At 38.2% G+C, this 23,242-nt stretch overlaps 1 protein-coding gene across 9 annotated transcripts in view; it reads left to right on the forward strand.

The window, feature by feature from the left end:
• The window catches only part of WDFY2 (WD repeat and FYVE domain containing 2), a 183,248-nt gene that overhangs the window by 97,088 nt on the left and 62,918 nt on the right, over positions 1-23,242 (forward strand). For all 9 annotated transcript variants that reach the window (XR_007063659.1, XR_941483.2, NM_052950.4 and 6 more), the window contains one exon: positions 22,047-22,101. Coding sequence is in view for 7 of the 9 variants with exons in the window: in NM_052950.4 (NP_443182.1) it covers positions 22,047-22,101 (55 nt within the window). In the remaining 2 variants the exon portion in view is untranslated. The remainder of the gene's footprint in view (positions 1-22,046; positions 22,102-23,242) is intronic.

Below are 23,242 nucleotides of genomic sequence, written 5' to 3' on the forward strand. Positions count from 1 at the left end.
ATTTCTGAGTCATTTTATCATTCTGAGTCACTGGACTGCCTAATGTGAAGAGTTCATTTTATACAGCGTTAAGTAGACATTTTCTTCTGAGCTTGTGCTAAGTTACAATGAATTTAAACATATATATTACATATGTAATATATGAAAATATATGCATATTTTAATACTATAGGTGTGGAGCTATGCTTAGCAGGAAAATAGTCTTAGAGTGCTGACATTCCAGTTGCTTACTATTTATTCATTTAATATCATTTGCTGAAGGTTCTTTTATCAAAGAAAACTCTTGCTGTATTGTGCCCTTGGTATTTGTGTGAATCAAAGACCTCTCAAAAACTAACCTTCTCCCTCAGTTATGTCATTGCGCGTGTAGCCCTGTCATCTTTTGCTCAGTACCTACATGTTATCTAAAAACTTGGTCAAGCAGTCGTGAATGCAGATACCAAGAGCATTTTTTGACCTGAGATTAATTTGTTGCACTTCCATTGCAGTTGTGAATTTTCAAAGGCCCTCTTGAATCGACTTTTAGACCAGTTCTGTAGTGTGAATACCCGTAGGAGCACCCAGATTGCTCTGTGTTTTGAATTAGGTACTGAAGAGATTCAGTAGAGTGAGTGGTGGATTGAAGTCATTTATGCACTATCTACAGGAGTTACCTTGGCCACATCAACACAGCACATGTACACTTCAGAAAGGCAGTGGCTGGGAACTGATGAGAGTATTATGTTCCAAGTTACTTTCCCTTTGTCCTAGGAACCTTATATCTAAATAATCTATCTCCCCTGGAATAATAACTGATGTAATTATTTTATTAATGGCATATATTCAGCATAAACTCTGCAAAGCAGGGACTGTGTGTACTTGACTCTGTTACAGTCTGGCACCCAGTACAATGTCCATGAATTTTAAGTGCTCTGTAAATATTTATAGACTGAATTAATGAGCGAGTAAATGAATGAATATAGTTTATTGAGTTGATATTACAAAGAGGTTCGGAGCACAAGCCCTGGTATCAGACTGCCTCTACCCCCCTCAAGTTGTGTCACATTGGGCAAGTTGCTTTACTCTCTGTGTCTCAGTTTCCTTATCTGTAAAATGGGAGTAATAGTTGTACCAATTTTATAGGGTTGTTATTAGGACTATCTGATATATACATGGAAAGCTCTTAGAACAGTCCCTGTATGTATCAAATGCTCCATAAATATTAACTCCTGTCAGTGTCATTATCATCATCATCAGTAGCAGCATCCTCCATTTGCAGTAACCAGGAAGCCTTGGTTAAAGTCTATGTCATGAGCATTTAGTGGGCCAGTTCCAAGGGGAGGAAATGTCTTAGTCATGGCATATTCCTTAGGACTATTCAACTTATTTCTGGTCCCATCTTTAGTCTTTGCTGTTGCATCACAGGAATTTACCAGTGATTTGCAAAACATGGGCTGTCTTCTGACATGGACACTCTTTTTTCTGCAAAGGAGTTTCTTATCCAAGTTGTTGCCATTTTAATCTTCATCGTCCTCAAGAAAAGGGGTTGGGCTTGGAGAGGTGTACAGAGTACTGAAGATGCTCTGAATGGATGACTGGAGAAGATGTAGCAAATTTGTCATCACAAGTGACTCCCTTATTTTCGTGGATTGAGAGTATGGAATAAGGAAAAATTGCAAGCCATTAAGGGTTAAATTGCTTTCTATTGTTTTAGGAATTTGGATTTGATAGACCAATGTCCAGAGAGCCATCTGTGGTCCTACAACTTTTAAAATCAACGATAGGAATCAGTCCTGTTGGTATCAAAATTCTTTTCTTAACCATTTCCATCTACACATTTGAAAATATTCTCTGTATACACAAATATTTTGCTGATTTTTACTTTGAGTTCATCTTTTATACAAACTAGAGGTGAACCATGGTTCCCATGTCACTGTCATTTGTATTGCAAGGTTTCAAGCCCAGATGGGCTGGTGTGTGGCATTTTACTGTTACTCACCTTGGAAGGCATTCCTTTCAAGAGTACCTTGACAACAGCAGAGTCATGAAATATATCTTCCAGGGAATCATCTGACATTTATTCTTTTGCTGTAAAGCTTGGGAACTCACAAGAGCCAAAATGCATGAAGGAAGCACTCATTCTTTTATAGCCCCTGTGGTTGCGGAACTGCTGTCACCTGGTGTTGCTCCACCTACTGTGTGATCTGAGGCAGTCTTGGCAAAAGCCTTCCCCCTTGCTGGCTAGATGCTTACATTAGCAGAGAGGGGAGTGGTATTAGGTATGTCCTAGTCTCTGGGGTTTAGTGCTGGGGTTAAATGCTGGGCTTGTATGTCTTTGCTTGGCTGCACTTGGATGCTACAGTGACCCAGGTTGGTGGAAACCTGAGTAGTTTTTCTTTCCAAGATGTGTGCCCTTCCCTGTTTATTTACTGATCCTCCTACACTAAGCCTTGAATGCAGGCTCCACACCTCACTCTCCTGCAGCTTCACCTCATTACAGATGGAGGAATAGCTCTTCTCTCAGTTACCAGTGAATGTTTTACATTTTTATAAATATGTACTCATTTAGTGTAGGAAGACAACCATCAGTATTAGACCTTAAGCTCATTGAAACAAATTTCACGGTTGCAAAAAGACTTCTAACCATATTGGCACAAAGAACAGAAGAGCTTTTCCATCTGCAGCAATCATGCAAGTCCAGCTTGTTTCCTGGATTGGAGAGAAGTCAAAACATTAGGGCAGCTTCTTCAGCCCAGAGCTATTGCTACGGGTAGAAAAAGAAAGGAGCCAAAAAGATGCCTTCTAGTGGATTGAGTCATATCATGGTTGAGTATTTGGTGTTTTTTTTTTTTTTTTAAGTTTAGTAAACCCTGAGTTACCTCCAGATTTTTCTGTTGGTTCTTCTTTCTCTGTTAGAGCCTTAGATGTGAGGCTCCCGAAGGTTCTGCCCTCCTGCTGCTTACTCTTTTTTTGGTGATCTGCATCTGTGGCTTAATTATCCTATACCTACAGTTCTCAAGACTGTGGCCCATTCTGTTCTCATGAGCCTGAGACTGCACTCCAGTTTAGCATATTCTAAATAGAAATAATTCTCTTTCCCTCCAAATATGCTCTTCTCTCTTCCTTCAGTAAATGGCATCAATGAGTAACTCCAACCAGAAATAAGCCCCACATTTTCCCTCTAACCTCACGGTATCAGTGCCCATGGCCTGCTGACTTAGCTCAGACCTGTCTCCAGACTCTGGCCTTCTTTGTCTATTCCCAAGAGTACTTTTGAAATTTCCATCTCTTACAGGTTTACTTGGATTGTTGCAGTAAGCCCTAGATTGGTCAAACTGCCTGTTGTCTCTAGGTTTCTCCAGCTGCTCCGCCGTCAGATATCCAAAGTTCTATACACATTCCCCTGTGTATAGACTCTCAATCACTTTTAGAAAAATGAAGCTCCAAGCCCTTCATTCTCCCCACTTGGTCAGTCTCACCTGTCACAACTTTCCCACCAAACTTCAAACTTTTTGATTCAGATATCCATGGCTGTGTACATGCAGTCCTTTGCCAAAAATAGATGTTCTCCTTCACTGACCTCCTGCCGCCTCTATGGAACTTCTACCTTCAAGAATTAGCTTTAAGCCCCAAACCCATTCTTATGAGAAGCCTGCCTTAATTACAGAGCAGAGTTGAAAGACTCTTTGTAAGAATTCTCACAGCCCTTAGTTCAAATTTCTACTTTAGTATTTGTGTATCATTAGATTACATGTGCATTTCATTTATATAATTTTGTATTAAGTAAGATGTATATACAGTTGACCTTTGAACAATGTGGGGGTTAGGGGCACTGACCCCACCTCCCCTTCCAGTTGAGAATTTGAGTATAACTTTTGATTGCCCAAAAACTTAACTACTAATAGCCTGCTGTTGACTGGAAGCCTTACTGATAGCGTAAACAGTCGAGTAACACATACTTTGTATGTTATATTTATTATATACTATAGTCTTACAATAAAGTAAGCTGAAGAAAAGAAAATGTGACTAAGAAAATCATAAGGAAGGAAAAGTATGTTTTCATTAGATGGAAGTGGATCATCATAAAGGCCTTCATCTTCATCCTATTCACGTTGAGTAGGCTGCTGAGGAAGAAGAGGGGTTGGTTTCAGGGGTGGCAGAGGTGGAAGAAAATCCATGTATAAGTAGATCTGTGCAGTTCAAATCCATGGTTCAAGGGTCAATGTAGTCCCTAAACATGTCTAGTAAATAACATTTAATTTCATTGTTTTCTTTATCTCCATTAGCCGGAGCAACTTGGAGGCAGGAAACGTATGCATTGGCATTTCCAATACCTAGTAGAGAGCCCTGTGCAAATTGGAATGGCAATATTTTTTGAGTGAATAAAAGCCAAACCAGTTTCCTTTGTGTTTCCATCCAGAAGTTCGTTCTCCTTTCACCTTCATTCTCATAATCTAGTCATCCTTATAGAAGCCCTTTCTTCCCAACACTCTGATAGGGAAGCAATTGTTTTATTCTCTTCCCTCCCTTTATCAAGTAGAGCTTTCTCAGAGTTTGTGGGAGAAATGATTAACATACCTTGCCTTCATATAGCAAGGACAGATGTGGTGGGGTTGAGGTATGAACTTTGCTCCCATAAAGGTCTGTATCTGTATCCCAGGTCTTCCATCTTCTAGCTTGATCATCATGAACAAGTTGGTTAACTTCACATACTCCTCAGTTTACTCACTGTTCATTGAGGGTGATCTGTGCCTCATGGGGTTGCTGTGAGGATTACATGAGGTACCTTAAAGGTCTTGGCACTCAGTAAGCCCTCAGAAAGTGGTAATTACTGTTTTCATGGCAGAAATTATATTCATTTCAGCAGTAGGTGAACTTTAATTTACTTTTAGATAAGGTTAATTTTATCTGAAGTTAAAGAGCAGTGTATTTTACACAATTATTTGCCACCTCAGATTTAACAATAATTTAAAAAACTCATTGTTTTTAAACTAGTTTCTTGTGCGTGCCATTTTTGACAAAAAAGATTGGGTTTTACATGTAATATTGGCTTTCTTTTGGTGTTCATTACTTGCCAAATGTATATTTTTGTTTGAATAATGTTCAGGACTGAAAATATATGAATTTAAATATAGAAAAAGAGATAATTATAACATTTTAGTGTGGAGACCATGGTTATAAACAGCTTGAAAAAGCAACACATTACTGTGTTTTCTATTAACCCAAGAAGTAAAGCATTGGTTATTACTGAGATTAGAGTCAAAAGTATGTACTGTTCTATTTTTCAGTATTGATTAGGAAAAGTAATAGCTTAGCAATTAGCCTCTCTTTTTTTTTCTTTTATTATTTGAATGTCTGGTAATTGCACATATTTTCATTCAAAATTACTGTGGGTAACATTGAACCCCCAATTGAGAAATCTAGTTCCTACTTTCAAGCCTACTATTGATGAGCAAATTGTTGAATCTTTCTTTGATGGCCTATCTAAATGAAAACACTAATAATGTCACACTTATTTATATATATATATATAAAACCATCACTGAAAAAATTATACTTAATATTTTTATAGTATATTATGTATTAATATTTTCATATATTTTAAAAGTATATTAATAGAGAGCTATTATGTAAATTAATATAACACTTAACATTTTTATTCAATTTTTAAAATATATATTGAACACCTACTATGTGCCAGGCAGTGTTCTAGGTACTTGAGATACATCAAAATATACCCTCCCCTGCTGAAAAACCCCTCCTCTTGTTTATGTTGCATTTACTAATCTCTTTATAAATAACATTATAATTTATATATGTTAGAAGGTCATAGAAGTGATACATGCTATGGGGAGAAATAGAACAGAGTAAGGGGGATTGGGAATGTGAGTGTGAGGTAGAGGGAATGGATGCCAGTAGGTTAGGCTTCATTAAGAAGATATCATCTGAGCAGAAGCCTTGAAGGTTGGAGGAGTGAGTCCAGCATTTGTCTTGGGAAGAGTGTTTAAGGCAGAGTAACAGTCAGTACACAAGCCCCACAGCAGGAGTGTTTATAATAGTAGTACAACGAAAATCCTGACTTGAGCTAAAAAAAAAAAAGGAGTATTATTTCTTTATTTTTCATATTTATTGATTACCTCTCATATATTGTATATTAGGAACGATGCTGGACATGTTGGGGAGACATGTTAGGAAAACCAGAACTCCATTCCTTAAAATCTGTAAAGAAGGATAAAATGATCTGATCACTGATAGCTTTCATTTAATGCAGACTGTGATCAATAGCCTAAAAGAGCTAGAGTCTCTTGAAATTCAGAACAGAAAGCTCCATCCTGCCTGAGGTGATTATATGAAAGGAGACCATTCAGAAGGATAGGTTTGAAAAATGATGACGGCTGGGGAAATGAGACACTAGATCAAAGGCTAGGAAATGGGGATGCGCAGGTCACTGTCAAAGATAAACGTAGTTTACTTGGAAATGCATTGGAAGGGGCTTGGATTCAAGAAGGATGTAAGGATCTGATGACTAAATGTGTAGGAGAAATTGAGTGGGGAGAAGGGGTAGTTGGCAAAAATAACTCCCAGCCAAGCTTGTGTTCAGTCAGTACACAGTTGCTGCTGTCTGCAGCCAGTGTCTGTTCTGATTAGCCGGTGTCCATGCCAACCATTTGGTCCTGCTTCCAGGTGTCAGACTTGGGTAACAGGGATCATGATGGAGGCATTAGTGGCGTGTGGTGCTTTCTGCTTATTTTTCTTTTGTGTTCATGTAATGCGTTGTCACCTGGATTTTCTGAAGAGTGTAGTGACTTCAGAATTTGCACTGTAGTTTTTTTCTTTGCTCATAGAGATTCAATGAAATACTCTCCTGAGTTTTAATGTCATTTTGAGGGGGCTCTTTGAGGTTTGTGTGAGTCAAAAGATCAGTGGATAAAAAATCAAGAGACAGATCCACATTTTAAGTGTGGGCTATGCAACATACAACCAAGTAAGCCTCTGACCCTGAGACTTTTTCCTTAGTATCTCTAGACTTTCATTTCCCTATCTAAAAAATGAGTCATTGTGCTAGGTAATCTCTAAGACCCCTTACAAACTCTAAAACTCCACAAAATCCAAAACTTAACAACCAAAGATCCAAACTTCTTTCACCAGCAGCTTTCCTGAGTAGAGAAACAGTAATTGTCAGCCTCATAACCATTAGGCTAAATATTATGATGTTAGGTGTAAGCAGTTTTCAATTTCAGCAGGCAACTTTTTTGTTCAGAATAATTTTCTCAAAAGTTTTGAGCTATTTTTTCTTTTTAAAAATAAATATCAGCAACTAAACTGTCTAAACTGATCTCATATCATTTGCTGTTTAATATTACAGCAGAATTTTTATTGTGTATAAATGTTATTTAAAATGTACAACACTCTTTCACTGAAGGGTGGCGGGGACACAAAATACTTTAGCTAGCAGCTTTCTTTGTGTGATACATCAGTGTTCTGGCTTCAGAGTTTGGCCATGAGCAGGATATTCCCCATTCACTGAATAACTTCCAAGAGCATCTGTCCTTAAGATTCTGAAATTTGCCAGAGGCGGTCTTGAAAGTGGTTACATCCAAACCTGTGTGTCTTTTCTCCCTTCCATCCTCTTGGGAGGGATATTATTGAGAAGCCAACTGCATATGGTTACTTGCAGTCAGTGTTGGGGAACCGGGGGTGGGAGGGCACAAAAACCTGTTACCATTGATGAGAAAAGATGATGACAGGTAAACCGTGAAGCATCCAGGCAGACTAGAGGGGCAGCAGCCAAACAGTTCGTGTGTGGAGAAACCTTGAAATTGCTTTGTTTTTTGTGCTATATGTGTAAACCTGAATTTGAGGAGGAATTTATAGGAAGAATTTGTAAACCTGAATTTGTCTCTTTGTAGGTGATATATGGAATCTGGAGAGGCAAGCAGCTGCTGTGGTTGCACAAACCCCAGTTATCTTTAGTTTTCTTGTTTCCGACGCTTCCATGTAGTATGACATATGCCCATCTTAGAAATGTGACATGGGGTTTCCTTATGGAGTTCGGAGCCTAAGTGGGGGATTTGCATTTAAGGCATCCCTTCCCCCAACTTTTTAAAATACATGTGGTCAGAAAAGATTAGGCTCATAGGCATTTGACCGGAGAGGAAAAAGGCACGTACCCTCTGGGTTCCTGGGTGAAACAATGTCCCATTGTTTGGTAGCCAGTGAAACCTCTTTTCATAATTATAAACAAACAAGAATAATCTTTGAACTCTGTAGGCACATTTGCAGAATCTGAAATGAAGATTAAGCAAAGCCTAACATCAAGTCAGTCACTGAAACCAGTAGTTTTCAAACTGTGATCTGTGAGATGAAAGCTATTTTCATAATAATACTAAGATGTTACTTGCCTTTTTCACTCTCATTTTCTAAGAAATGTGCAAATTGTATGCAGAAGCAGGATGGGGATCTGTCTTCTGTTAAGCTGCGCATTAATGAGATTTGCTAAAATGGAAAACAGTGCCACTCTTTTCACTAAATTTTTTGTTTTGGAAAAAATACTTATTTTTTATAGATTGTTATTTATATTAACATGTAATACATTTGCTATTGTTATTTTAATGAATTAATATTTAAAAAATTTTTCCATTTTGATTTAGATCATTATATATATATATTTTTTTTATTATTATACTTTAAGTTTTAGGGTACATGTGCACATTGTGCAGGTTAGTTACATATGTATACATGTGCCATGCTGGTGCGCTGCATCCACTAACTCGTCATCTAGCATTGGGTATATCTCCCAGTGCTATCCCTCCCCCCTCCCCCCACCCCATAACAGTCCCCAGAGTGTGATATTCCCCTTCCTGTGTCCATGTGCTCTCATTGTTCAATTCCCACCTATGAGTGAGAATATGTGGTGTTTGGTTTTTTGTTCTTGTGATAGTTTACTGAGAATAATGATTTCCAATTTCATCCATGTCCCTACAAAGGACGTGAACTCATCATTTTTTATGGCTGCATAGTATTCCATGGTGTATATGTGCCACATTTTCTTAATCCAGTCTATCATTGTTGGACATTTGGGTTGGTTCCAAGTCTTTGCTGTCGTGAATAATGCCGCAATAAACATACGTGTGCATGTGTCTTTATAGCAGCATGATTTATAGTCCTTTGGGTATATACTCAGTAATGGGATGGCTGGGTCAAATGGTATTTCCAGTTCTAGATCCCTGAGGAATCGCCACACTGACTTCCACAACGGTTGAACTAGTTTACAGTCCCACCAACAGTGTAAAAGTGTTCCTATTACTCCACACCCTCTCCAGCACCTGTTGTTTCCTGACTTTTTAATGATTGCCATTCTAACTGGTGTGAGATGGTATCTCATAGTGGTTTTGATTTGCATTTCTCTGATGGCCAGTGATGGTGAGCATTTTTTCATGTGTTTTTTGGCTGCATAAATGTCTTATTTTGAGAAGTGTCTGTTCATGTCCTTCACCCACTTTTTGATGAGGTTGGTTGTTTTTTTGTTGTAAATTTGTTTGAGTTCATTGTAGATTCTGGATATTAGCCCTTTGTCAGATGAGTAGGTTGCGAAAATTTTCTCCCATTTTGTAGGTTGCCTGTTCACTCTGATGGTAGTTTCTTTTGCTGTGCAGAAGCTCTTTAGTTTAATTGGATCCCGTTTGTCAATTTTGTCTTTTGTTGCCATTGCTTTTGGTGTTTTAGACATGAAGTCCTTGCCCATGCCTATGTCCTGAATGGTAATGCCTAGGTTTTCTTCTAGGGTTTTTATGGTTTTAGGTCTAACGTTTAAGTCTTTAATCCATCTTGAATTAATTTTTGTATAAGGTGTAAGGAAGGGATCCAGTTTCAGCTTTCTACATATGGCTAGCCAGTTTTCCCAGCACCATTTATCAAATAGGGAATCCTTTCCCCATTGCTTGTTTTTCTCAGGTTTGTCAAAGATCAGATAGTTGTAGATATGTGGCATTATTTCTGAGGGCTCTGTTCCGTTCCATTGATCTATATCTCTGTTTTGGTACCAGTACCATGCTGTTTTGGTTACTGTAGCCTTGTAGTATAGTTTGGAGTCAGGTAGTGTGATGCCTCCAGCTTTGTTCTTTTGGCTTAGGATTGACTTGGCGATGCGGGCTCTTTTTTGGTTCCATGTGAACTTTAAAGTAGTTTTTTCCAATTCTGTGAAGAAAGTCATTGGTAGCTTGATGGGGATGGCATTGAATCTATAAATTACCTTGGGCAGTGTGGCCATTATCACGATATTGATTCTTCCTACCCATGAGCATGGAATGTTCTTCCATTTGTTTGTGTCCTCTTTTATTTCGTTGAGCAGTGGTTTGTAGTTCTCCTTGAAGAGGTCCTTCACATCCCTTGTAAGTTGGATTCCTAGGTATTTTATTCTCTTTGAAGCAATTGTGAATGGGAGTTCACTCATGATTTGGCTGTTTGTCTGTTATTGGTGTATAAGAATGCTTGTGATTTTTGTACATTGATTTTGTATCCTGAGACTTTGCTGAAGTTGCTTATCAGCTTAAGGAGATTTGGGGCTGAGACAATGGGGTTTTCTAGATATACAATCATGTCATCTGCAAACAGGGACAATTTGACTTCCTCTTTTCCTAATCAAATACCCTTTATTTCCTTCTCTTGCCTAATTGCCCTGGCCAGAACTTCCAACACTATGTTGAATAGGAGTGGTGAGAGAGGGCATCCCTGTCTTGTGCCAGTTTTCAAAGGGAATCCTTCCAGTTTTTGCCCATTCAGTATGATATTGGCTGTAGGTTTGTCATAGATAGCTCTTATTATTTTGAAATACGTCCCATCAATACCTAATTTACTGAGAGTTTTTAGCATGAAGGGCTGTTGAATTTTGTCAAAGGCCTTTTCTGCATCTATTGAGATAATCATGTGGTTTTTCTCTTTGGTTCTGTTTATATGCTGGATTACATTTATTGATTTGCGTATATTGAACCAGCCTTGCATCCCAGGGATGAAGCCCACTTGATCATGGTGGATAAGCTTTTCGATGTGCTGCTGGATTCGGTTTGCCAGTATTTTATTGAGGATTTTTGCATCAATGTTCATCAAGGATATTGGTCTAAAATTCTCTTTTTTGGTTGTATCTCTGCCTGGCTTTGGTATCAGGATGATGCTGGCCTCATAAAATGAGTTAGGGAGGATTCCCTCTTTTTCTATTGATTGGAATAGTTTCAGAAGGAGTGGTACCAGTTCCTCCTTGTACCGCTGGTAGAATTCGGCTGTGAATCCATATGGTCCTGGATTCTTTTTGGTTGGTAAGCTATTGATTATTGCCACAATTTCAGAGCCTGTTATTGGTCTATTCAGAGATTCAACTTCTTCCTGGTTTAGTCTTGTGAGGGTGTATATGTTGAGGAATTTATCCATTTCTTCTAGATTTTCTAGTTTATTTGTGTAGAGGTGTTTGTAGTATTCTCTGATGGTAGTTTGTATTTCTGTGGGATTGGTGGTGATATCCCCTTTATCATTTTTTATTGCGTCTATTTGATTCTTCTCTCTTTTTTTCTTTATTAGTCTTGCTAGTGGTCTGTCAATTTTGTTGATCCTTTCAAAAAACCAGCTCCTGGATTCATTAATTTTTTGAAGGTTTTTTTGTGTCTCTATTTCCTTCATTTTAGTTATTTCTTGCCTTCTGCTAGCTTTTGAATGTGTTTGCTCTTGCTTTTCTAGTTCTTTTCATTGTGATGTTAGGGTGTCAATTTTGGATCTTTCCTGCTTTCTCTTGTGGGCATTTAGTGCTATAAATTTCCCTCTACACACTGCTTTGAATGTGTCCCAGAGATTCTGGTATGTTGTGTCTTTGTTCTCATTGGTTTCAAAGAACATCTTTATTTCTGCCTTCATTTCGTTATGTACCCAGTAGTCATTCAGGAGCAGGTTGTTCAGTTTCCATGTAGTTGAGCCGTTTTGAGTGAGTTTCTTAATCCTGAGTTCTAGTTTGATTGCACTGTGGTCTGAGAGACAGTTTGTTATAATTTCTGTTCTTTTACATTTGCTGAGGAGAGCTTTACTTCCACCTATGTGGTCAATTTTGGAATAGGTGTGGTGTGGTGCTGAAAAAAATGTATATTCTGTTGATTTGGGGTGGAGAGTTCTGTAGATGTCTATTAGGTCTGCTTGGTGCAGAGCTGAGTTCAATTCCTGGGTATCCTTGTTAACTTTCTGTCTCGTTGATCTGTCTAATGTTGACAGTGGGGTGTTCAAGTCTCCCATTATTATTGTGTGGGAGTCTAAGTCTCTTTATAGGTCACTCAGGACTTGCTTTATGAATCTGGGTACTCCTGTATTGGGTGCATATATATTTAGGATAGTTAGCTCTTCTTGTTGAATTGATCCCTTTACCATTATGTAATGGCCTTCTTTGTCTCTTTTGATCTTTGTTGGTTTAAAGTCTGTTTTATCAGAGACTAGGATTGCAACCCCTGCCTTTTTTTGTTTTCCATTTGCTTGATAGATCTTCCTCCATCCTTTTATTTTGAGCCTATGTGTGTCTCTGCACGTGAGATGGGTTTCCTGAATACAGCACACTGATGGGTCTTGACTCTTTATCCAATTTGCCAGTCTGTGTCTCTTAATTGGAGCATTTAGTCCATTTACATTTAAAGTTAATATTTTTATGTGTGAATTTGATCCTGTCATTATGATGTTAGCTGGTTATTTTGCCCGTTACTTGATGCAGTTTCTTCCTAGCCTTGATGGTCTTTACAATTTGGCATGATTTTTCAGTGGCTGGTACTGGTTGTTCCTTTCCATGTTTAGTGCTTCCTTCAGGAGCTCTTTTAGGGCAGGCCTGGTGGTGACAAAATCTCTCAGCATTTGCTTGTCTGTAAAGTATTTTATTTCTCCTTCACTTATGAAGTTTAGTTTGGCTGGATATGAAATTCTGGGTTGAAAATTCTTTTCTTTAAGAATGTTGAATATTGGCCCCCAGCCTCTTCTGGCTTATAGTTTCTGCCCAGAGATCCGCTGTTAGTCTGATGGGCTTCCCTTTGTGGGTAACCCGACCTTTCTCTCTGGCTGCCCTTAACATTTTTTCCTTCATTTCAACTTTGGTGAATGTGACAATTATGTGTCTTGGAGTTGCTCTTCTTGAGGAGTATCTTTGTGGCGTTCTCTGTATTTCCTGAGTCTGAATGTTGGCCTGCCTTGCTAGATTGGGGAAGTTCTCCTGGATAATATCCTGCAGAGTGTTTTCCAACTTGGTTCCATTTTCCCCGTCACTTTCAGGTACACCAATCAGACGTAGATTTGGTCTTTTCACATAGTCCCATATTTCTTGGAGGCTTTGTTCGTTTCTTTTTGTTCTTTTTTCTCTAAACTTCCCTTCTCACTTCATTTCATTCATTTGATCTTCCATCACTGATACCCTTTCTTCCAGTTGATCGCATCGGCTCCTGAGGCTTCTGCATTCTTCACGTAGTTCTCAAGCCTTGGCTTTCAGCTCCATCAGCTCCTTTAAGCACTTCTCTATATTGGTTATTCTAGTTATACATTCGTCTAAATTTTTTTCAAAGTTTTCAACTTCTTTGCCTTTGGCTTGAATTTCCTCCTGTAGCTTGGAGTAGTTTGATCGTCTGAAGCCTTCTTCTCTCAGCTCGTCAAAGGCATTCTCCGTCCAGCTTTGTTCCGTTGCTGGTGAGGAGCTGCGTTCCTTTGGAGGAGGAGAGGCGCTCTGCTTTTTAGAGTTTCCAGTTTTTCTGCTCTGTTTTTTCCCCATCTTTGTGGTTTTATCTACTTTTGGTCTTTGATGATGGTGATGTACAGATGGGTTTTTGGTGTGGATGTCCTTTCTGTTTGTTAGTTTTCCTTGTAACAGACAGGACCCTCAGCTGTATGTCTGTTGGAGTTTGCTAGAGGTCCACTCCAGACCCTGTTTGCCTGGGTACCAGCAGCGATGGCTGGAGAACAGCGGATTTTCATGAACCGGGAATGCTGCTGTCTGATCATTCCTCTGGATGTTTTGTCTCAGAGGAGTACCCAGCTGTGTGAGGTGTCAGTCTGCCCCTACTGGGGGGTGCCTCCCAGTTAGGCTGCTCGGGGGTCAGGGGTCAGGGACCCACCTGAGGAGGCAGTCTGCCTGTTCTCAGATCTCTAGCTGTGTGCTGGGAGAACCACTGCTCTCTTCAAAGCTGTCAGACAGGGACATTTAAGTCTGCAGAGGTTACTGCTGTCTTTTTGTTTGTCTGCCCCCAGAGGTGGAGCCTACAGAGGCAGGCAGGCCTCCTTGAGCTGTGGTGGGCTCCACCCAGTTGGAGCTTCCGGGCTGCTTTGTTTACCTAAGCAAGCCTGGACAATGGTGGGTGCCCCTCCCCCAGCCTTGCTGCCGCCTTGCAGTTTGATCTCAGACTGCTGTGCTAGCAATCAGCAAGACTGTGGGCGTAGGACCCTCCGAGCCAGGTGCGGGATATAATCTCCTGGTGGGCCGTTTTTAAAGCCCATCGGAAAAGTGCAGTATTGGGGTGGGAGTGACCCGATTTTCCAGGTGCTGTCTGTCACCCCTTTCTTTGACTGGGAAAGGGAACTCCCTGACCCCTTGCGCTTCCCGAGTGAGGCAATGCCTCGCCCTGCTTTGGCTAGTGCAGGGTGTGCTGCACCCACTATCCTGCACCCACTGTCTGGCACTCCCTAGTGAGATGAACCCAGTACCTCAGATGGAAATGCAGAAATCACCCATCTTCTGCATCGCTGACGCTGGGAGCTGTAGACCAGAGCTGTTCCTTTTTGGCCATCTTGGCTCCAGCCCCCAATCAAAATTGTAAATGTGATTTTTCTTTTTTGCTATTAAAAAGATTATTTATGTTCATCTAGCTACATTTTTCTTTAAGAAAAGAATTTAGGAGCACATAGCCTTTATATTAACATATAAGTTGTATCTACTATAATTAAATCATTTTGGTTCCGGCAAAGGAATAAAACAGGGTTGGAGAACCCCCAAACAGACTCAGTTCATTGAAAGCAAATAAAATGTGGTAAAGATGACCACAAGTCAGTGTGAATGGGAAAAGTTATTAAACAAATGGTGCTGGAGCAGTTGGTTTGCTTTTAAGAAAAAGATCGATTTTAATTCGCACCTCTTGTCTTATACCAAAATTAATTCCAGGAGCATGAAGCATCATTACATGTAAGTAAAGCCTTAAAAAAGAAAAAGAAAAACTAGAAGTCAGTTTACTGGACATTTATAAACAATCTATCAAGAAGAATGTTGTAAGCTTAAAAGAATGGAAGTCATAAACGAAAATATTATTTTATTTAACTACATAAAATGCAGAACTTCCCAGCATTAAGAGAATCTACTTAAATACAGTTTTTTAAAAGCAACAAATAGTTCCGTGGAATATGACAGAGAAAGGAAAATATCCTCAGTCCATGACAATCGTATGCAAATAGATAAGAAAAACAATAAAATCCTGTGGATAGAAAAGTCATGAAAGAGGAAATACTAAGGGCCAGTAAACATTTTAAGGTGTTAAAATGTTTTAATTCTATTTTTATCTAAGTTGTAGTAATTTTAGAATATACTTATCAGCTAGAATTAAATAAAGTAGGCACTCTAGAATACTAATGGAAAGGACATAAATTGGCACAAACTGTTTAGAAAAAATATTGGTAATATTCAGAGCTTTAGAAATATTTTTCCTTTATGTCAATAGTTTTGTTTCTAGAAAACCATCCAAAGAAAATAATCATAAATATACACAAAGATTATTCATAAGGATATTCCTGTTTTTATAATAATAAAACATTGGTGTCTTAGAAATGTAACAGACTGGATGCAGTGACTCACGCCTATAATCCCAGCACTTTCGGAAGGCTGAGGCAGGCAGATTGCTGGAGCTCAGGAGTTCAAGAGCAGCCTGGGTAACGTGGTAAAACGCCATCTCTACAAAAAATACAAAAATTAGCCATGTGTGGTGGCTTGTGCCTGTAGTCCCAGCTACTCAGGAGGCTGAGGTGGGATGATCATTTGAGCTTAGGAGGTTGAGGCTGCAGTGAGCTGTGTTCATGCCACTACACTCCAGCCTGGGTGACAAAGCAAGATCCTGCCTCAAAAAAAAAAAAAAAATGAAATGTAACAGTTAAAGACTAATTAGGTAAAATTCTTTATTGCCTTCCAATGGGATATTACGTAGCCATTAAAATTCACTGTTTCAAAAAATAGGTAGTGACATGAGAAATGCCCATCTAATAGTGTTAAGTTAAAAAGGAGAGCTACAAAACATCATCAGTAGTACTACTATTCCAATTGTATGTGTTTCTGTGTATACACGGGGAAAAGCTTAAGAAGCTGAATTCTAATTCTTCAATTATAATTGTTCAATATCTTCCAAAAGATTTAAAGAAAAGCTTCTTAATCCATTTTTTTAAATTAGCTCTCATAGAGTACTTATTATGTGACAGGCACTGCTTTAAAATGCTTTATAAATAATAACTCAGTCCTCATACAGTCTTATGAGGCTAGTACACAAAAGGAAAGTGAAGCACAGAGCTCTTGAGCAACTTGTCAAGATCATTTAACAAGTATGTGTTTTAGCTCGGATTTAAACTGGACAATTTGGTTCCAGTGCCCAAGCTCTTAAGCACCGTGCTTTGCTATCTTTAAACCAGAACCCAATGAAGATAGCACCAAAATGGAAAACTATAGACCAATAATAATCTTAAATGTATATGTAAAAATTCTTATTGAATATTAGCATATCAAATCCAGTAGTGTATCAAAGGAAGAATACATCAGGGCAAGTTTGAATTCTTTCAAGAAGTTAAGAATGGGTCAATATCAGAAAACTGTTTAACAATAATCAATTACTTTTATAAATTGAAGGATTTTAACAAATTTTGTTTAATAGATATCAAAAGCAAATTCCATTCAATTTAATTAAATTTGGCAGCTACTCTTAAAAATTCCAGATAAAACTAAAATAGCAGTGATTACCTAATCTTGGTCAGGGTTTAGGTAAGTCAACAACAAATACGGTGTTAAATGCTGCAATAGCATACTAATGCTATTAATACACGTGTATCCCAAAACCAAGAGCTATTTTCATTATGTGCGAGAAGTAATTCATTGAAAATTGAAATGGGGTTGGGAGAAATGCCATTTAAACTATTAAGGAAAAATTGTATATAAGTACTTGAGTATATTACAGTTAAAATATTATTCCTTCCCAAATTAAAACTTAAAAGATATAATGCAATTTTAACTCATAATGCCATGGTTGTTTGTTAAGTAAAAAAAATAAAACATTTCAGTACTACGAAAGATTTGATAAAATTCAAAGGCAGACTATTAGGAGAGAAAATACTGTCAATTCACATATTAAACAAAGGATAACTATCCCTAATAATCAAAGAATTTCTACAATTTAGTAAGACAGTTACAAATGCAATAGACAAAAAGAACCAAAGGATATGCCTGGACCACATCATATATACTGCCTCAGATTTTCTTGATTGTACTTGTTTCCTGGGCTCTCTTGGCACCTTGTTCCACCCTGAGGCCAAAGCCCAGAGGATCTGGTTCCCCTGCTACTTCTGAATTACATGAAGCACAGCTCTGCAAGGCCACAGATCTGACTTCCCCAGTGGCTGCAACAGGGCTAGGTGGTACAACTTTCTACACGGAGGGAGAAATTAGATTCATGTGGAGCTATGATTAAAATGCAAAGGGATATGGGAGACAGCTGGCAGATAAATTCCCTCTCCATCCCTTCCTTCAGTGGATTTTTCCAAAACCTGGTGTTTCACTTCTGTCTGTCCAGAGACTTCCTGAATGCTGGAGAAGCAGCTGGGCATCTTGTGAAACTCAGGCGAGCTTGGTAATGCATCACCGTCTTTCTCCGCTTTGCTTTGCTTTACCCTCACTGCTGCCGATATTGCACCTTCAAATAAAGCATTAGACTTACGCTTTGCTTCACGCTGTTTTTCAGAGAACCAGGCTACAGCAGAATTTGAACAGAAAATTCATAAAACAAGAAATGAATGAAAATAGCCAATAACCAAAAAGTTATCCAGCTCATAGTGTAATGAACATAAACCACAATGAGATACCCTCTTGTTTCACACATCAGTTTGGCAAAAATTGAAAAGATGAATAGTGTCCAATGCTGATAAGATGTGGGAAAATAAGCTGTCAAATGAAGATGGGGGTAGGTGAGAGAGTGCATGGCTGCATGCTTCCTGGAAAGTAATCTAGCGGTGTTTATTAAGACATTAAATGTACATAATATTTGAGCCAGCATATCTTCTACATAGACATTAGTTCATATGGATATACTTGCAAAGACCTTTCTCAAAGTATTGCTATAATTGTAAATTATAGCAGACAAATGGAATGTCCACTTAAAATGTGAAGTACTTGAATAAAGTTTGGCATATCCATTTTATGGAATATTATACAGCCATCAGAAAGAATAAGTTAGAACTACGTGCTTCTGGAAAATAGTGCTCTGCTGTATTTTGGGTGAAAACAGAAAGTTACAGAATAATATCTATAATGTGATCCTGTTTTTATACAACAAAAAAAGTATATATGTTCATATATGTTTGTATAAGGGTTTAAAAAAAAGACATGGAGGGATACGCCAGACCGTTAACATTGGTTGCCTCACAAGGGTGAGATTGAAGGTGAAGACAGTTGTTAGCTTTTTGCTTGTATATCCTATATTGTTTGATGTATTACAGTGAGCATTAAAAACTAAGTGATAGATGGGTGGACAGCTGAATGGAAAGAAGGAAGGATAGAAATAATAAAAAAAGAAGGAATAGAAACTATTTTATCCAAAATATTTCAAATGTGTATATCTTTGATCTAATTTCTTTTGAACTTTGGTTGGTCAATCCTAACAAAGTAATTGCAGCCAAACCTTTACATTTTAATTGTTCGTGAGTATTAACAGATAAAATCTTTTAAAAACTCAATTTGGCCATGTCTATCAAAATTTCAATGGTCATACTCTCTGATCCAACAATTCTTCTCGGACTTTTATTTTATAGAAATACTGCTGGAGACATATAAAGATATAATGCATTTAATGTAATATTTTCAGTAAGGAAAACTAGAAACAAAGATTCATCAATAAAGGAATATTAAAGTAATATTATGGTCAGGCGTGGTGGCTCATGCCTGTAATCCCAGCACTTTGGGAGGCTGAGACAGGCAGATCACCTGAGGTCGGGGGTTCAAGACCAGCCTGACCAACATGGGGAAACCCTGTCTCTACTAAAAATACAATAAATTAGCCAGGCGTGGTGGCGCATGCCTGTAATCCCAACTACTCGGGAGGCTGAGGTAGGAGAATCGCTTGAACCCAGGAGGCGGAGGTTGCGGTGGGCCAAGATCGCACCATTGCACTCCAGCCTGGGCAACAAGAGCGAAGCTCTGTCTCAAAAAAAAGAATGTTATACTACATCCTATACAGTCATCAAAAAGAATGAAGTTGATGAGTATGTACTCATGTGGAATTGCATGCATGAACTGTGAAAAGAAAACAGCATTGCCAAGTAGTTTTAATGTTTTGTTTTATTATACATTATTACAACTGTACGTTCCATAATACTTATCTTTGAGAAATGGTATCACAAGGGATTTTTAGTGTTTATTTTTCTTACATTTCTTAGAGTAGTATATTGTGTTTCTATGATCAAAAAAGTAATAACAAGGCTGGGTGTGGTGGCTCACGCCTGTAATCCCAGCACTTTGGGAACCCGAGGCAGGCGGATCACGAGGTCAGGAGTTCCAGACCAGCCTGACCAACATGGTGAAACCCTGTTTCCACTAAAAATACAAAAATTAGCCAGGCATGGTGGCATGTACCTGTAGTCTCAGCTACTCAGGAGGCTGAGGCAGGAGAATCACTTGAACCCAGGAGGTGGAGGTTGCAGTGAGCCAAGATCACGCCACTGCACTCCAGCCTGGGTGACAGAGCAAGATTCCATCTCAAAAAAAAAAAAAAAAAAAGTAATAACAAAAGCTGACAAAATCTAAATTTTCTCCATAATTATATGTTTTTATTATCATAGGAAAAATAAATGACCAAGAAATTAGGTTTACCAATGCAGTGAACTGGTAATTTTATTTTTAATGTATATATTAAATCCTAAATGCAAACCTCTATTACGTTGTGTTATTTTATACCTTACATTGTTTTGAAAGGAATTGAGGTATCTTTTGACCAGGTCAGAGAACCATTTCAGTATATTCAAAATAATATGAACAATATGAACTCAGAAAACACTTGGCCAGATAACAATTGTCTTCAATAAATTTATTTGTGTATGTGTCACGATATTTGGGACCCTGTAAAGTTGGGGGTCAGGGTCAAGGTCCTGTTGCCTGTGATTAAAAGTTGCTAGTGAATTGTTGCTTAGGCACCTCCCAGGTTTCCTTACCCACACTATAAGCACTTTATAGGCCAGCTACTTTACTTCTTTAAAAATTAGTCTGCTCTGGCCAGGTGCGGTGGTGCACACCTGTAATCCCAGCACTTTGGGAGGCCGAGGTGGGCGGATCACCTGAGGTCAGGAGTTCAAGACCAGCCTGGCCAACATGGTGGAACCCCATGTCTACTAAAAATACCAAAATTAGCTGCACATGGTGGCATGCACCTATAATCCCAGCTACTAGGGAGGCTGAGGCAGGAGAATTACTTGAACCTGGGAGGCAGAGGTTGCAGTGAGCCAGGATCGCGCCACTGCACTCCAACCAGGCAACAGAGCAAGACTCTGTCAAAAAAAAAAAAGAAAAAAAATTAGTCTGCTGTGTCCAATTGTAGGTCTAACTCTTCCAAAACAAGAAGTGGATGTAGTGCCACTCCTTGAAGAAATAATGATATGAATTTTTAAAGTGACAAGTTGAATAATGTTATTACTGAGAAAATCATGGTGAAGAAAATTCATTTGTAGATAAGCTTCTTAAAGGGGGCTGGAATGGAAAAATGAATAAGCAAAGGAACTTTATTGCTTTGTATATTCTCTCACATCATCTCCTACTTTACCTTTGTGATGTTTATCACAATAAAATAATATTTCCTTCTAAAAAATTACACAAACTGCTAAACTCAGGAAGACCCGGATAGCAAGTAAGGCATTTAGGTGTCTGTCTTCCCATCCCCCTTTTTTTAAGTTATCAAAGAAAAATCCTGTATGCTTCCAAATATTTTGAAAAGATTAATTGCGTTGTTTCTAAACTCAGATGAAGGCATCAATTTATTATACTTTGCAGCTTTCCTTATGTTTTATAATATACTCTTAAAGAATACCTGGATATTTTGCTTTTGAATGAAGTCTAAGGACTCAAAACCTGGCTGGATCTCATAAACAATCAGCTTCTACATACAGGTCACTGTATACGCAGATGCATGGGTGAAACAACAGACACTTATGTGTCCCCACCAAGGGTATATATAATGCGCGATACAGAAACTGATTTTTTCAGTAAATTTGACATTCAGACTAATCTCATTACATTGAGAAGTGCTTTTGTGTGACCATTATTAATTACCTACTGTGCCAAGGTACTGTGCCCGGTGTCCTGGGGATACAGGGATGAGTAAGATGCAACCTTCAGATGCTTATAGTAAGTAAGGGGAAATAAATTACTAATCTTAGAAAAATAATCTTTAAAATATCTAATTTATTTCTTTAGCAGAAATGCTATCCATTTCCTTACTGGTTAGAGCCTTGCAAATTTTTAGCTGTGGCACCCTTGAAAGAAAAATATTTTGAATTAGGTTTATCTTCAGAATCGACCGGTATCAAGATGCTGAACTGATCTGGTTTTCTTCTTGTGCATACACAAAAAGTCAACACTTATAAGGTAAAATTATGATAACTGCATTGGATCATAATTTTGATTGTTACTTTTAAAAGGGTACAAAAATTCTGAGTTGATGGGCAAAATACTAATGTTGGATGTAATCGTCATGACAATTCGCTTTATTCAGTCTGGTTTTACCAAATATAGTCATTCACTTAAAGAATTTATTTTTGTTTAATAGTTTTCTTTTCTTTTACAGGAGTTTATATTGTCAGAAGATTATAACAAGATGACTCCTGTGAAAAACTATCAAGGTAGGGAGTGAGAGGAGTACCTTCATTACCCAGATTCTAAAATACTTCTTGGTGGTTTTCACTGCCACAAGAGAATACATACTTTACAATCATCAGGGAAACAAAACAGAGCAACCTTTTGAGTGAGTGTTATCCCTGTGTTTTGAATTAAGAAACTGAGGCCCAATGAGGTTGGGTGGCTTGCCTGGGGTTCTAATTAAGTGCAGAGCCAGATCAGGTCAGCTTGACTCCCAAACCCACAGCCTTTGTCTTCCTACTATACCATGCTGCTTTTCAACGTACAGCAGGTTTAGAAAGTGGGTCCAGTAAAAAGCTGCCTTAATAGGACTCATCTTGTATTTGGTTAAATGTTTTAAAAGTGCTCAGAGTGTGTTGTCCAAGGGGAAGAATTGTGGTTTTATCATGTCTTCAACATTGACAGGCCATCTGACAACAATTTTTGGAAGGGATTTCTTTATTCAGACTAACAATGTTGTGGAACCAGAAAGTTTGAGGTAGACCTTTTAACACTTAGAGGTCATTTCCTCCAATTCTCTTGACTCGCCTTTAATGAGAGGATGATCATCCAGCCTCTACTTTAGTACCTCCAGAGACACAGGAACCATTGTGATTTTGGAAAATTCTAAGCATTAAGTTCTTTATTTTAAAATTTGGAGCTAAAATTTATTTCTCTTTATTCTTTAATTTTCTCACATATCATTCATCAAATATTTATTGAGTGTCTATTGTGTTCTGGTAACAGAATTGTAATAGTGAACCAGACATGTATAGTGTCTGTGCATAAGCAGTTTATAATCATGGAGAGGATACGGATGGTAAGCAGGCCATTAAAACATTGTGTGATAAGTGATAAATGTTCCTCTATTGGTGTTTGCTTAGCCTGTTGGACCTACAGAAACTGAGTACAATCTCTCTTACACATGACAATCTTTCAGTTATTTTAAAACAGCAGTGAAAGTTTCTGCCCCTTCCCTTCTGTCTCCTGTTTCAATCTTGAGTGTTCTGCTCTCACTTCTCTTTTCCAGCCTATATATTTTACATCTGTAATTTTTATTTTAAGTTACCTGAGCCTTTATTCTTTAAAACAGTTTTTACATGTATCCTATAAATATATGCAATTATTATTTATCAAGTTTTAAAA

This window comes from Homo sapiens, chromosome 13 (assembly GCF_000001405.40).
Source record: "Homo sapiens chromosome 13, GRCh38.p14 Primary Assembly".
Classification (NCBI taxonomy): domain Eukaryota; kingdom Metazoa; phylum Chordata; class Mammalia; order Primates; family Hominidae; genus Homo; species Homo sapiens.